This window comes from Homo sapiens, chromosome 1 (genome assembly GCF_000001405.40).
Source record: "Homo sapiens chromosome 1, GRCh38.p14 Primary Assembly".
NCBI lineage: Eukaryota > Metazoa > Chordata > Mammalia > Primates > Hominidae > Homo > Homo sapiens.
This window is the reverse complement of record NC_000001.11, coordinates 169,358,511-169,372,269: the sequence shown is the minus strand read 5'-3', so window position 1 is coordinate 169,372,269 and position 13,759 is coordinate 169,358,511. Positions and strand designations below refer to the sequence as shown.

The window sequence follows — 13,759 nt, the reverse complement described above, 5'->3', positions numbered from 1 at the left end:
TGATACAGTTAAACAAATTAGGGATTGTCATGTGGTAATTTTAAATCAAGAGTCTTTTTAAATGTCACCCATATCACCTAATAAAGTTTAGTTATTATTAAATTAGTAAAATAAGTTACATACAATGGACTTAAGAGTAACATCGAGATTTACTGAAGTGGAATCTAAGCATTCTTCTTACCACAGGCTCTATGGATAGAGATCCCTGGTCAAATAAGTGTGGGCAATGTTGCATACTGCATCTCTACAGAGTTTCAATGTACATTAGTATTAAAGTTATACTATAGGACTCTGAGAGGTCCCATAGTATAGCCTCTCTTTTAATACAGCATTTATCAAATTTATCTGCTCATGGAATATCTTTTTTACCTAACACCTATTATTCTACAGAACTAGTGTTAGACTATTTTATGGAATCAAAAATATTTAAATGTCTCAGACCTTTCTATTTGGTCTACTATTACTAAACTAGTTGACTTTAATAGCTTTATTTTCAATTTTAATCCCACATCCAAGAAAAGCTTTGGATTTTAAGTTTCTAATTGTTACTATTTACTGTATGTTTCCCTTTCAGAAACAGCACTAGCAGCCATGATACAACCCTCTTATGATGACAGTGCTGCTCAAATGTCTTCTGAGAGGAAGTTCTGTTGCTATACCAAACAACCGTACTTATCTCCTGAGGCAGTTACAGGAAGCACAGACAACTGACAAATGTCAACCAAGTACACCTTTTCACAGGCCATGCAATACAAGTAACTTTTGTTCACTAACATCAGATGACAGATTAAATAGAAATATGGCTAATAGAATTATTTTCCTTACTGGATAATTAAGATCACACAAAATAATGTTTGTTAAAGTGCCTTATAACTCTAATCCTCATTAAAAACAAGTAATAATAAATATTAAAAAGTAATTTAATTTCACAGAGAACTTGCCAGTACTTCTAATGACTAATCATAATATTGTATTTAGTTTTTGCTTTTTGACAAGCACCATGTTGGTTGCTTTCACATTAATTATTTAACTGCTCTTATTTCCCATTAATCCCCAGTTTATTACTTTCATTACAGTCTCTGACTTGCTTATCTAATGGTATAAAAGCCTTCTGGTGACTTATGAAATGCTGTTGCAAAGCTGAATTAAATTCAATTAAATATTTATTAGCATGATCTTTCTTCCTTGTTTCTTAAACTTATTTCAACCTGCTTTTAGAGAGGGTTTGTGGCTGGAGGTCAGTTTGCTGAAAAATTGGCATCTAGAAAACAGTTTTCCATCTTTAACTGATGGTTCTAGCATGCAGAACTCAACCCATCCAAAGAATAAGCTGGGTCAGGAGAAGTTCACTATGGGACATGTTAAAATTGTTGCCTACAGCTATGTGAAGATGGCCAGTAGGCAGTAGTCTATAAGGGTATGAATCATAAAGAAGGAGATTAGGGATATAGATAGATTTGGAAGTCATTTATATAGATAATTACTGAAGTCATGAGAGTAGAAAAGAAACAGTGGTGGAAAGTGTTGATATTTAAAAGATAAATAAGAAGGAGAAGAGGCTGAAAAAGAAAGAGAGAAGATACAGCTACAGCAGGGCTGTCCAACAGAATTTTCTTCAATGATTGAAATAGCTACTCGCCATATTTGCCTACCGACCACTTGAAGTTTGGCAAGCGTCATTGAGAAACTGAATTTTTAATTTTTAAAAAATATTAATTTAAATTCAAATAGCCACATGTAATTACCGCATTGGACAGTGAAAGGCTACAGAGTAGACTGAAAATAAAAGTGATGTCATGGAAGTCATCAAAAGAACGTATCTCAAAAGGCAGGGAATGGTCAACAGTATTAAATATTAGAGAGGACAAATCAGCTAGGACTAAAAAGTGACTACTGTATTTAGCAATTTAGGGGTTGAATTGTGTCCCCCAAATCTTTATTTGTTGAAGTACTAACCCCCCACTACCTCAGAATGAGACTTCATTTGGAAACAGGATCACTGCAGATGTAATTAGTTAAGATGAAATCATACAGGAGTAGACTGGGTTCCTTTTTTCAATATGACTGCTGTCTTTATAAAAAGGGTAAATTTAGACACAGAAACATGCACATAGGGAGAATGCCATGTGAATATGAAGGCGGAGATAAGGGTGGTACGTCTACAAGACAAGGAGCACCAAAGACTGCCAGCAAGCCACTGGAAGCTAGGAGAGTGTCTCTAATGCCTTCCGAAGGAGCACAGCCTTGTTGACATTTTCATCTTGGACTTCTAGCCTCCAGAACTGAGAGAATACATTTTGTTGTTCAAGCCATGCAGTTTGTGGTACTTTGTTACAGCAACCCCAGCAAACTAATACAACATGAAAGAGATCTTTGATACACCCTAGTTGCTTTGTCTATCTACTTAAATCTTTAAAATGTGTATTCTTATTTAAATCGTAATCTTCTAGTGTATAGGGAATATAGCTGTTAAAAACTTTGCATTAACATTAAATGTTTAAGAGTAGTCACCTAATAAATTCTAACTAATGATGTTAAATTTCACTTGTACATCTAAAGTACTGAAATATAAACACTGCACTAAAAAATAAACATAAAGGGATCTGAAATAACAAATGATTCCCAAGGGGGTCCATGAGATCTAGTTATCTGGCTCAAACGTTCCTTCACATCGTCATAAATGTCATGTTTTAAAAACAATTATAAAAAAGCCACTTACCTTTGGTTTCTAAATTTTTAGTAGTCATTTTTTCACCTTAACCACTGAAAATGCACTCCAAGACTTCTGCTGAACAACCTAGAAATGTATGCATATGAAATAATTTTAAAAATATCATATAAACACATAGAGTACCTCCAATTTAAAAGTTATGATATTTTAATTGCTTCTGTATTTAGTACGCATGCATTTAGAAAGAGAAATGTCCCTTATATCCCATTCTCACAGAAGGCATTGTTATGTCTACTAAAAGTCTCAAAAAAAAAAATTAGGGGTGGTTTACTTCTAAATACTCCGTTTCACCATCCTCACCAATACACTCTAAATTGTCAGAAGTATGTCCTGAATTTTAGCCAAGCAAAGGGAATGAAGTTACTGTGGTGGTTTTGTCATCCATATGACAAGAGGAATTTTAAAGTAATTACTTTCTTAGGAGACATACCGACACAATTTGTATACACACACACACATATCAAAAAGGAGCTTCTGTTTAGATGTTTAACAAACGACAAAAAATATTACTCAAGATAACATAATTTATACTTTTTTGGTAATAAAAAGTTAAAATTAAAATAGTGTAGCTCCAAAAGTAAAAAGAGAAACATATCGAGCCCATGCTTTCAGAAATGTATACATTGTCTTACAGTACAGACTCAGATTTACCAGAGAACATATAAGAAGGTGATGCTACTGCAATGATATAAATATGACAAACTGTACACTAGATGACAACTGGTTTCACTACAAAAAAAGATCGTTCTCAGTACTAGATACAACTCAGTTCAATTAGTGAACCCGACGACTAACTTTCTTAACAGTCACAAACTTTTCTACACTTACACTCTACTGCTCCGAAAAGAGGTATCCAAAAAACCCTTCGTAAGAGTAACGATCCCTGAAACTGCCCTTGATAGCTGCTCTGCGAAACGTACAGGCACAGCGAGTGCCTGCTGGCAAATGCCAAATGAAGCGGAGGGGGTGAAGAAGTAAGTAGGGGGAGTGAGCAGGTATGAAAGCGATAGGCCGGGAAGCGACAAGCCTGTCAACTTTGCTGTCCGGGGAAGTCGAAACCTAAGTTTCATCCCTGTCTGAAAAAGTCTTCCCGGAACAATCTTTCCCTAAATCCAAAGCTACTGGCCACCGAGCTCCAGCCAGACCTCCGTCCCTTTCCAACATCCTTAGTTATACCTGCTTGTCCTCGGATTTACCTCTAAGATTCTTATTCTCCGTATTTCAGGGGGCTTCACTTGATAGGCTCTTCGGATCGGTATCACCAGGTTAACTTCTCACAGACCTCTTCCATTCGGAAGCCGACCCGCCCAGTCCCTCCGCATATCCAGCAGCTCTCTCACTCCTAACCACTTCCGATTACTCAGGGTTTCGCTTCCGGAATACGTTTCCAAAAGAGCAGGGTAAACAAATTCTGCAGTGCGTATAAACTCAAGTAACACAGAACACACACTGTAAGGCCTCCGTAAGTGAAAAGCGGACAGATTTCTACTTTAAAATAAAATACCGTACAGCAACTTTTGGAGCCCAAGCCGCATATTCACTTAAACTTCCGGGCCAGCTGTTAAACAAACGGAAGTAAAACTGCCGGAAACAGAATAATGGCGTCTCGTAGCCCCAGGCGACAGCGTGGAGGGGCGGGTCTGTCGATTGGATGAACGCAGCTGAGATTACTCCCAGCCACTAAGGACGAAGAGGTGGGGCGGTGGCGTCCCACGCCTCGTGCGACAGTGGGCGGGGCTTTGTTGCCTGAGTAACCGTATGATGGTGGTGGTGGTGGTGTCTTCCTGTCTCAACGATACCTATTTTCTAGTGCTGAGATCCTGAGACAATGGTGAGTGCCAGGGGATGCCAGAAGAACGGCTCTGGGGTCCTACTTACTTAGCTTTCCAAGTCTTCGGGCGGATGGGCACTTAAAGTTGTCCGGTCCTCCCGACCTTCTCCCCGTTATCTCTTTCCCCCTTCCCACGGGCTGTTCCTGCAGTCTCCTCGCTCTCCGTATTTCTTACAGCACCCTGAATTCCACTAATGTTACTAAGTCTCTAGAGTAATGAAACAGAAAATTTAGGGTAAGGCATCGAGTCTAATAACCTGTTTTGAACAAACATTATGTGTTTGCATTGTTCATCATGGCATTTTTCATGTTCACAGATTCACATTAACGCGCTTTATTAAGAGTATGGGGTGGTGTGTATGTGACTGTCTCAACACTGATCTGAATCTCCCTAGATCTTGGAGTCTTTTTGCTTTTCTGAGTGGCAGAGCACTGCCCCACGCCCCCACGAGGGCCATTAACAGGTGTATGTTGGATCAGCGCTCTTCTATCCAGTTGGTTACCTTCTAGGTCTGTGCTTGCTTTTCTTTTCTCTTTTCTTTTCTTTCTTCTTCTTTTTTTTTTAAACAGAAATTTCTCCTGGGATTGCTTGGAGAGCTTCTGGAATTCACTGTTTGGGCTTCACCCCTGGAAATTCTGAATGAAAGGAATGGAGCTCGGTATTTGCATTTTAAATAAGCCTATAGGTTATTTTAATTCACCCCTATGTTTGAGAGGGTTCTAGTTAATTCACTTAACTACCATATCTTTTAAGCACTTATGGATAACGGACTGGAGGATAGAAAGATCTTTAGATAGTTATAGCTATGAATTTAGAAACAGAGCCCTCACCCACCACCCCTTGTTTCTTCATACTACTCAGCAATCCTTTTGGTTACCCCAGTTTTCCCCTGACCCATTCTCTGTGAAGACATTTTCAAACCTTCCCTTTACAAACCCTGTCTTTTGCCCTCTTCATTTCTCCTTTCTAAACATGATGGAGTATAACAGGCCATTTCTTCAACCTCATGCCCCCAACCTACACATTGCTCTATATTTTTGCCGAGCCTTTAGTCTTGTATTTCTAGTGTAGAGAAAGGGATATTAAAGGATAATCCATCCATCTTTGCTCTTGATCTCATTTGCTTCCATCTGTTACATTTCGCTTCCAGTTGTTTTTTTCTTTCCTGTGCGTTCAGCCTTTTCCTCTCCAGTTTCTTCTCTTCAGTGCTCAAGTCACACATCTTATGAAAATTAAATAAAGCAAAACCATGTCCTCCATCCTGTGTTTATCCAGTTATTTCCTAGTCCTCCTATCTATCAGTAAACTTCTTGAAAGGATATTATTTTTACTTATATCAAACAGACAAAAGTCTTCTGTCTGGCTTCTTTAATGGCTTCAAGAAAGTTGTTCTTGCTTAAGTTTCTAATGGCCTTTTAAATACCAAATACAGTAATTACTTCTCAAAATTTACATTACTTAGTCTCTTTGTGACAACTGAGGTTCATAGTCATTAATTCCTTTTACTGGCTGTGCCTGGTTTTTGAATGTCATTCTTTGGAATTAACTCCTTGATTACTTTCATTTCTTAGTCTAGACATTTTCCTTGGGTGATTTTGTCCACTCACATGGATTCTACTAACACCTTTGATTTTGCTTCTAAATTTCAATTTTCCTCTCAGATCTACTAATGCCTAACTCAGTTGCTTCCCGGACACATCTGTCTCAAATGTCCTTCAAACTTAATATGACCAAAACTGAACTTGCTATCTTTCCTCCTGGTTTCTCCTATTTTCACCAAGTTAAATAATGCTACTACTATATTATAACCTAAACTAGAAATCAGAGTTATCCTACATTCCTCCCTCTTCTATTTCTCCCATATTCAGTTGTTCACTAGATCAAATTTTAGTTTGTCATCTCCTCATTTCGTGATTATTTTAATAGTGACTTTTACAGTCTGGTCTGGAAATTCTCCAATCCATTATTTTCTCTGCCACAAGAAGGAATTTTTAAAAACCCAACCTGTTGATTTACTCACCTCCTTAAAACTCTAGATTCCCTATTTCCTACAGTAAAATGTCTAGAATGGCACACAAGTTCCTCCATGAACAAGCACTTTTCTGTCTAGCTTTTGCCTTTCCCTTTCCATACTTAAAAAAAAAAAATTCTCTTGCCTTTTAGCTACTTGCTTTTCATTGAACATACCAAGCAACTTCAAACTGGTAGTATGCCTCCTCTTTCTACTTTGCACTTGCAATTCCTTCTACACAGAATACTTGCACCCTCTTGTTGCTTGCCAAACTTATTTATTCTCCTATTACAGGCCAACGTGTTCTTCTTGCCCACTTCCCAGAAAGGCCAAACATTGAGAATGCAGGAGTTGCAGCAGAGAAAGAGTTTAATGGAGGCAAGGCAGTTGAGTGGAAGGATGGGAAATATTTCTAAAATCCGCCTCCCTGACAGCTTGGAAGTTGTGGTTTTCAAGGATAATTTTGTGGGCAGGTTGGTAGGGAATGGGCGCTGCTGATTGGTTGGGGATGAATTTATAGGTGTTTCCAAACTGTCTTCCTGTGCTGAGTCAGTTGTCTAGGTGAGAGTCATAGGACTAGTAGAGTCAGTTTCTTGGTATGAGGCATGTATCTGGGTGGCATCAGGAGGTTTGCCAGAATGCAGAAGCCTGGAAAATATCTCAAGACCAATCTTAGGTTTTACAATAGTGATGTTATCTAAAGGAGCAATTGGTGAAGTTACAAATCTTGTGACCTCTGGCTACATGACTTCTGAATAGTAAGAAATTATAGAAAAGCAAGGAACAGTAGCTGGTTATTGCTTACCTATGCCTATATTTTAGCAGATTTTAGGTCCCTCCCATAGTCCTAACCTTGCGGCCTTCTATTAGTCTTACAAGGCTGTTTTAGTCCCTAGAGGGGGTCAGTTTTGGAAGGGACTATTACCATCCTTGCTTCAAAGTTAAACTATAAATTTCTCCCATAGTTAGCTTGCCTATGCCCAGGTATGAGCAAGGGCAGTTAGCTTTGTGAGGTTAGAAGCAATATGGAGTCAGTTAGGTTAGATTTCTCTCACTGTTATAATTTTTGCAAAGGTGGATTCACTTCCAGACCCAGTGTAGGTGTCTTTTCTGTGATGCCTTCCTTCCCTACTCAAAGAGGGTTGAGTCGAGTCAGGTGCGGTGGCATATGTGTGTAGTCCCAGCTATTGAAGAGGCTGAGGTCAGAGGATTGCTTGAGGCCAAGAGTTCAAGGCCAGCCTGAGCAACATAGCGAGACCTTGTCTCTAAAAAAGTATAAATAAATACAAATTTAAAATCTATGCAGATATTCAGAGCTTTCCCCTCCACACTGTGAAATCAAGAAAAAAAGAAAAAGAGGTTGATTGTTCATTCTTTTTGTCACCATTTTATGTAGTATACATCTCTCCTATTGTACTTGCCTCATTCGGTTGAAATTATTTGTTTATAGATCTGTCACTCTTACTAAAATGTGAACTGTTGGAGGAATTCATGCTTATGTTGTTCACAGTATTGCCTAGATCATATTAGGCACTCAAATGTTTGCGGAATGAATACAAAATAAGAAAGAATGCGCTAAGTGGTCTGAGAGAATACAAAGTAATAGGGGGCAAATTGTACAATTGAGTCCCTGCTTCTCAGTCAGAGTCAGAAAAGTTGTCATGAAGAAAATGGAATAGAATTTCAATAGTTAGAATTCTATGACCTGTGCAATGGCATAGGGAGGTAGAAAGTGACATTTGCTCAATACTGTTTTTGGTTTTTGCCTGTCTTACATTATGTTATCAAACTTCCCAGGAATGCTAAGGGCAATGAATGAACTCCTGTTCCCACTCCTCCTGCCGGGATTGCAGGCTGGGGCTCTTTCAAATTAGGTGGTCAATGAAGGCCTCTCTGTGGAAAGAACTTTTATATTGAGACCTGCATAATATAATACAAAGTGCAGTGATCTGGAGGAGTCCAGGCCACGCTAACAACAAGATCAAATACCCTGAGGCAGAAAAGAGATTGGTATATTTTAGGAACTTATGGTTCAATGTAATAAAATAATAGAAACTGGGTGGTGGGATGGTGCAGGGGTGGCTGCAGTAGGGAAAATATGGTGCAAAATACCATGAAATGTGGTTAGGGAGGTAGGCAGAGGCCAGACCACACGTATACGTACAGCAGTGTTTCTCAAACTGTACCTGATGACTCATTACTCAAATTTGTGGTATGTAGCCAGCATTAAAAAGATGACATAAAATAGCAACTTAACATATTCACTACATGTTGTAAGGGTAACGTTCATGAACTTTTGTTTAATTGTATATGTATTGGATGTGTACTGGATTCTGATGTAAAATATATTTCTTACTGTGAGTCCTGATCCACAAAGTTCAAGACACAGGGTACTTTGAATAATATATACTTTATTTGTTTTATCTTATTATTTTATTTTTATTTATTTATTTTTTTTGAGACAGGATATTGCCCTGTCACCCAGCAGGAATGTAGTGGTGAGATCATGGCTCACTGCAGCCTCAACCTCCCAAGTTCAAGTGATCCTCCAGCCTCAGCCTTCCGAGCAGCTAGGATAATAGGTGTGTGCCATGATGCCCAGCTAATTTTTTTTTTTTTTCAGAGACAGGGTCTCACTATGCTGCCCAGCCTGGTCTTGGACCCCTGGGCTCAAGTGATCCTCCCACCTTGGCCTCTCAAAGTGTTGGGATTATGTTTATGTTAGCCACCACGTTCAGCTAATATATAGTTTAAAAGGCAAAATAGTTGAAATCTCAAGGCCTGCAGATATTCTTATTCCTCTTTTGATCTAGTGAAAATGTTCTTGTTGTATGGCAGATACAGCTTTGAATTAACGAAAGCCTAAAATTGGCTAGAGTAAAATTTTCAAGTTTCTTTGTGCATCCAGATCACTCTCCTCCATATTTGCCATCAATCATTTATGAGAAAGAACAGGCCTAAGAAACAGATGTCCCTTCTCTGTGTTCAGTCTAGCCACTGTTGTATGTATTGCAGCAAAGGATTATGGCCTCTCAATAAGCAGCTGAAGATGGAGGTTGTTTGCTCTGTTGGTGAGGCTTCCTGACCACTGCAGTTTATCTAATCAGCTTCTGTCTTCATCTAGTTTGTTATAGTTGAGGCTTCCAAATTCTGGAATCACCTTTATATTGTGAAGCAGAGATAGGGAACCATAGTTTAGCATGTTTCTCATACACCTCATTTAAGATGAAGCGTATGCTGGACTCATCAATTTCTTTTACATATTATAAAGAGGACAGAGAAGGTAATTCTAAGATATATTTGACAAAGATATTAATATTATGTATCTTCTAAAATATAGCATTTATTAGAATATCATTACTCCAGATGAACTGTTAGTGTAATAAAGGACTTTAAAGATTATTAGCTATGTTCCATAAGAACTAATCTAAACCTTTGAAGTAAAATGTCTCAAAGTTGTTTGTTTGTTTATGTATTTATTTATTTTTGAGACACAGTCTCACTCTATCACCCTGGCTGGAGTGCAGTGGTGTGATCTCGGGTCACTGCAACCTCTGCCTCCTGGGTTCAAGCGATTCTCCTGCCTCCACCTTGTGAGTAACTTGGATTACAGGCATGTGCCACCATGCCTGGCTAATTTTTGTGTTTTTAGTGGAGACAGGGTTTCACCATGTTGGCCAGGCTGGTCTCGAGCTCCTGACCTCAAGTGATCCACTTGCCTCGGCTTCCCCAAGTGCTGGGATTACAGGCATGAGTCAAAGTTGTTTTTAACAGAGTTTTCAAAGACAGTTTCATAATTACTGAAGAACAAAATTTTATTCCATGAAATGAAATGCTTTTCAGTTTCCAACTTTATGACGTTTCTCCTAATAGCTTTTCTGGTTTTGTTTTTAGCACCTGCCTTTTTTTTTTTTTAGACAGAGTTTTGTTCTGTCGACCCGGCTGTGGAGTGCAGTGGCGCGATTTCCACTCACTGCAACCTCTGCCTCCTGGGTTCAAGCAATTCTTGTGCCCCAGCCTCCCGAGTAGCTGGGACTACTGGCGCATGCCACCACGCCTGGCTAACTTTTGTATTTTTAGTAGAGACGGGGTTTCGCCATTTTGGCCAGGCTAGTCTCAAACTCCTGATCTCAGGTCATCCGCCTGCCTCGGCCTTCCAAACTGCTGGGATTATAGGCATGAAGCTTGGCACCCAGACAGCATCTGCTTTTTAGTCATCCAGAATTCCTTTTGTTACTTGAATTGCTGATTTGGAAGAATTGCAGTTCCAAAGATCCACAGGATTTTATTTACAAAAAGTGAATCAGAAAGCACAGGGCATAAATTGCAGATATGAAACTCTTAAAAGTTTATTTTCCTATATATTGTATTACAAATGCAGTTTAGAGCCTGTTATATTCTTGTTTAGTAGGAAACAGTGGTATTTGGAGAACGGAATAGTAAGTGGTTAATATAATGCCATAATTTTTTTCATGTAGCTTTTTATTTATTTTTGCTTTCCTTTTTCTGCCTTTTTATTCCCAATTCTTTCTCATTCACCAGTTATTCTTCTATTCGAGAAAGTATTTATTGAGTACTTTCCATATACTGGTAACTGGTGGGTATACATTGATTAATAAGATAGCACACAGTGGCCCCTAACTCATGGAATTTATGGAGAAAAACAGATATTGGAAAATAAATTACAAGTATAAGTTGGATTACAAAAGAAAAATGACAAGGTGAGGTGGAAGTTAGTAATAAAATAGAGTGATCTGAACTAGCCTGGGGTGGTGAGGGAAAGTCTCTTTGATGATAAAACTCTTTAATTGTTTTTTTCCTTAGTTTGAGAGAAAAACAGTTTACATGAATAAATAAACGAATGATGACCTCATATGATGATAAGTACTATGAGGAAAATTAAACTAAGTAATGCAATATTGGTTGGTTCCAAGAGCAAGTAGCCTTGAGTAGGACAATCAGGGACGGTCCTCATGAGGATGTGACTTTTAAGCTGAGATGTCAATGATAGAAAGCAGCTTGCCAGGTGAAACCTAGGAGAAGAGCATTCCAGGCAGAGTCAATAGTGAGCACAGAGGTGCATTAGAGGAACAGGAGGGAGATAGTGTGGCTGGGGCCTAGGGAATGAGAGGACAGCTGGAGGAGAAGAGATCTGAGAGGCAGGAAGGAGCCAGGAATACTGAGACTTATGGAACTTGGGAGGGATTTTGGATTTTATTCTAAATGCAGTAGTATTATACATCTTATATATTTTACCTATTCCATCAAAATATTTTATTTTCCTTGGATTTGCCTTAAACTTTTGCCATATTAATTTGGTCTCTTGGTGCTTATTTTTATCTTATCTGTAAAATTTATGATCTTATAAGCTTTGGGAAATATTTTTCTGAGCTTCTTTTGTCTTTGAACTTCAGAGACTCCTAATTTCATCCCTTATAGTTGCCATTTCATAATTTATTTTCCCATTTCTGGACTTATTTTTTGTTTCTATAATATCTACTCTAAGGTGTGGCGAGCAGAGCTACATATTCCAGATGGGTATGCATTATAGTTTCAACATGGGAGTTATGTTTGCTGCTGTGATCTTCACCTAGTACCTTTCTTGATGCTGCTATAGCATATGATTGAAGTATCTTACTTTCCAGAAGTATCTCCAGCATTCCCAATGAACTTTGTATTCACATTTTTTTCAAAAACTGCCTAAACTTCTTCACTTCCAAAGTTGTCAATATTTAAAACTTTCTGTTAATTAGATGTGAGAAACTGTAGCTATTAAAATGTACTGCTTAATTCACATTTATTTTCTGATACTGGACACTTTGCCTTAATAAGTTGCTGTTGTTCTCTCTCCTGACTCATCTTATGTGCTGTGCCTTCTTCATATTTCTATACTCTTTAAAATGTATCTTCATATGCACACATAATGGCTCTAGAGCTCTCTGATAGATGTAAATTCAACTTTTATCCTTTGTTTTCCATAGTTTCAATATTTACATGATACATATATATGCTATATATGTTTTATATATGTTTATAAAGATATTTAACTTATTCTGTTGTAGAAATATAGGAAAATTACTTAGTCATTTTTAGAAATGAGAAAATATAAAAGTAAAAGTAATAAAATTACATTTATCTATAATAACACTGCCTGTATACAATCGCTATTAATATTTTTGTGTAATATCCTGGTCACATATATACTCATACATATATACACACACACACAGAGATACATATCCTTTAAAATATGATTCTATTATATTCATTGTTTAGAAATCTGTTTTATCCCACTTAATATATCTTTTGCATTTTTCCAGATCAGTTTTAAGAACTACAGCCAGCCCTGGGTAGCCATGGGTTCTGCATCCAGATTCAACCAATTGAGGATTGAAAATATTTGAAAAAAAAAAATAACAATACAATGATAAAAAATACAAATAAAAACAAAGCACTATAACAAGTATTTACATAGCATTTGCATTGTATTACGTGTTGTAAGTAATTTAGAGATGAATTAAAATATACTGGAGGATATGCATAGGTTATATGCAAATGCTATATCATTGTATGTAAGGGACTTGAGCGTCTAAGGATTCTGGTATCTGTAGGAGTCCTGGAACCAATCCCCTGCAAATACTGAGGGACAGCTCTACGTTTTATTCTTTCATTTACTCTGATTTAACCAATCCATTTATTAATTTGTTCTGTTAACACAATACTAACATATTTTTGCGAACACATTTTTATAGACATCCATAATTATTTCCTTACAATAAATTAAAAAGGAAATAACTAGGTGCGAGAGGTCATGTGCATTTTTAGGCTTTCAATATACATTGCCAGACTACTCCCAAAATAGTTTTGCCAGTGAATACTCTGCTAGCAGTATACCATGGTGCCTGTTTCTTCTAAACTCTAAACTGGTATTTCTATACATTACATACATATGTCTAACAATAGATTTGAACTTTTAATAAAACTGTCACCTGCTTTGCTCAGAATATTGAGAGAAATATAAATTACTGTATGTTCTATAGATGAAAGGCACTGTTAATACTTACCTACAATATTTCTTTGTAATTATTGTTTTACATCTATTATAAATTGTTAAAATTCAAGGTTTATTGTCTGACTGTAGTGAAGAATATTAAGTTGGCCTTTTTTTAACTATTATTTGTAGAC

General features: G+C 37.4%; 2 protein-coding genes across 6 annotated transcripts in view, besides 4 other annotated features; one reads left to right on the top strand and one right to left on the bottom strand.

Annotated features, from left to right (window-relative positions):
- Window positions 1-4,075, bottom strand: part of BLZF1 (basic leucine zipper nuclear factor 1) — a 28,381-nt gene extending 24,306 nt beyond the window's left edge. For all 3 annotated transcript variants that reach the window (NM_003666.4, NM_001320973.2, NM_001320972.2), the window contains exons 1-2: window positions 3,928-4,075; window positions 2,720-2,797 (exon numbers count right to left, since the gene is read on the bottom strand). In NM_003666.4, coding sequence (NP_003657.1) covers window positions 2,720-2,747 — 28 coding nt within the window. In that variant the 5' untranslated portion in view covers window positions 2,748-2,797; window positions 3,928-4,075. The remainder of the gene's footprint in view (window positions 1-2,719; window positions 2,798-3,927) is intronic.
- Window positions 3,437-4,636: an enhancer, noted in NCBI's record as "P300/CBP strongly-dependent group 1 enhancer chr1:169336872-169338071 (GRCh37/hg19 assembly coordinates)". NCBI's record gives its function as "activates an origin of replication core promoter dependent on BRD2, BRD4, P300/CBP, MED14 and CDK7 cofactors, with strong dependence on P300/CBP, by STARR-seq in HCT116 cells {active_cell/tissue: HCT116}" and the evidence as "EXISTENCE:reporter gene assay evidence [ECO:0000049][PMID:35650434]".
- Window positions 3,496-3,995: an enhancer, noted in NCBI's record as "H3K27ac hESC enhancer chr1:169337513-169338012 (GRCh37/hg19 assembly coordinates)". NCBI's record gives its function as "activates a minimal SCP1, AML or CMV promoter by ChIP-STARR-seq in naive H9 embryonic stem cells {active_cell/tissue: H9 hESC(naive)}" and the evidence as "EXISTENCE:reporter gene assay evidence [ECO:0000049][PMID:30033119]".
- Window positions 3,996-4,497: an enhancer, noted in NCBI's record as "H3K27ac hESC enhancer chr1:169337011-169337512 (GRCh37/hg19 assembly coordinates)". NCBI's record gives its function as "activates a minimal SCP1, AML or CMV promoter by ChIP-STARR-seq in naive H9 embryonic stem cells {active_cell/tissue: H9 hESC(naive)}" and the evidence as "EXISTENCE:reporter gene assay evidence [ECO:0000049][PMID:30033119]".
- Window positions 4,254-4,333: an enhancer, noted in NCBI's record as "active region_2071". NCBI's record gives its function as "activates an Ori minimal core promoter by ATAC-STARR-seq in GM12878 lymphoblastoid cells {active_cell/tissue: GM12878}" and the evidence as "EXISTENCE:reporter gene assay evidence [ECO:0000049][PMID:35858748]".
- The window catches only part of NME7 (NME/NM23 family member 7), a 235,267-nt gene continuing 225,980 nt past the window's right edge, over window positions 4,473-13,759 (top strand). For all 3 annotated transcript variants that reach the window (NR_104229.2, NM_197972.3, NM_013330.5), the window contains exon 1: window positions 4,473-4,562. Coding sequence is in view for 1 of the 3 variants with exons in the window: in NM_013330.5 (NP_037462.1) it covers window positions 4,560-4,562 (3 nt within the window). In the remaining 2 variants the exon portion in view is untranslated. The remainder of the gene's footprint in view (window positions 4,563-13,759) is intronic.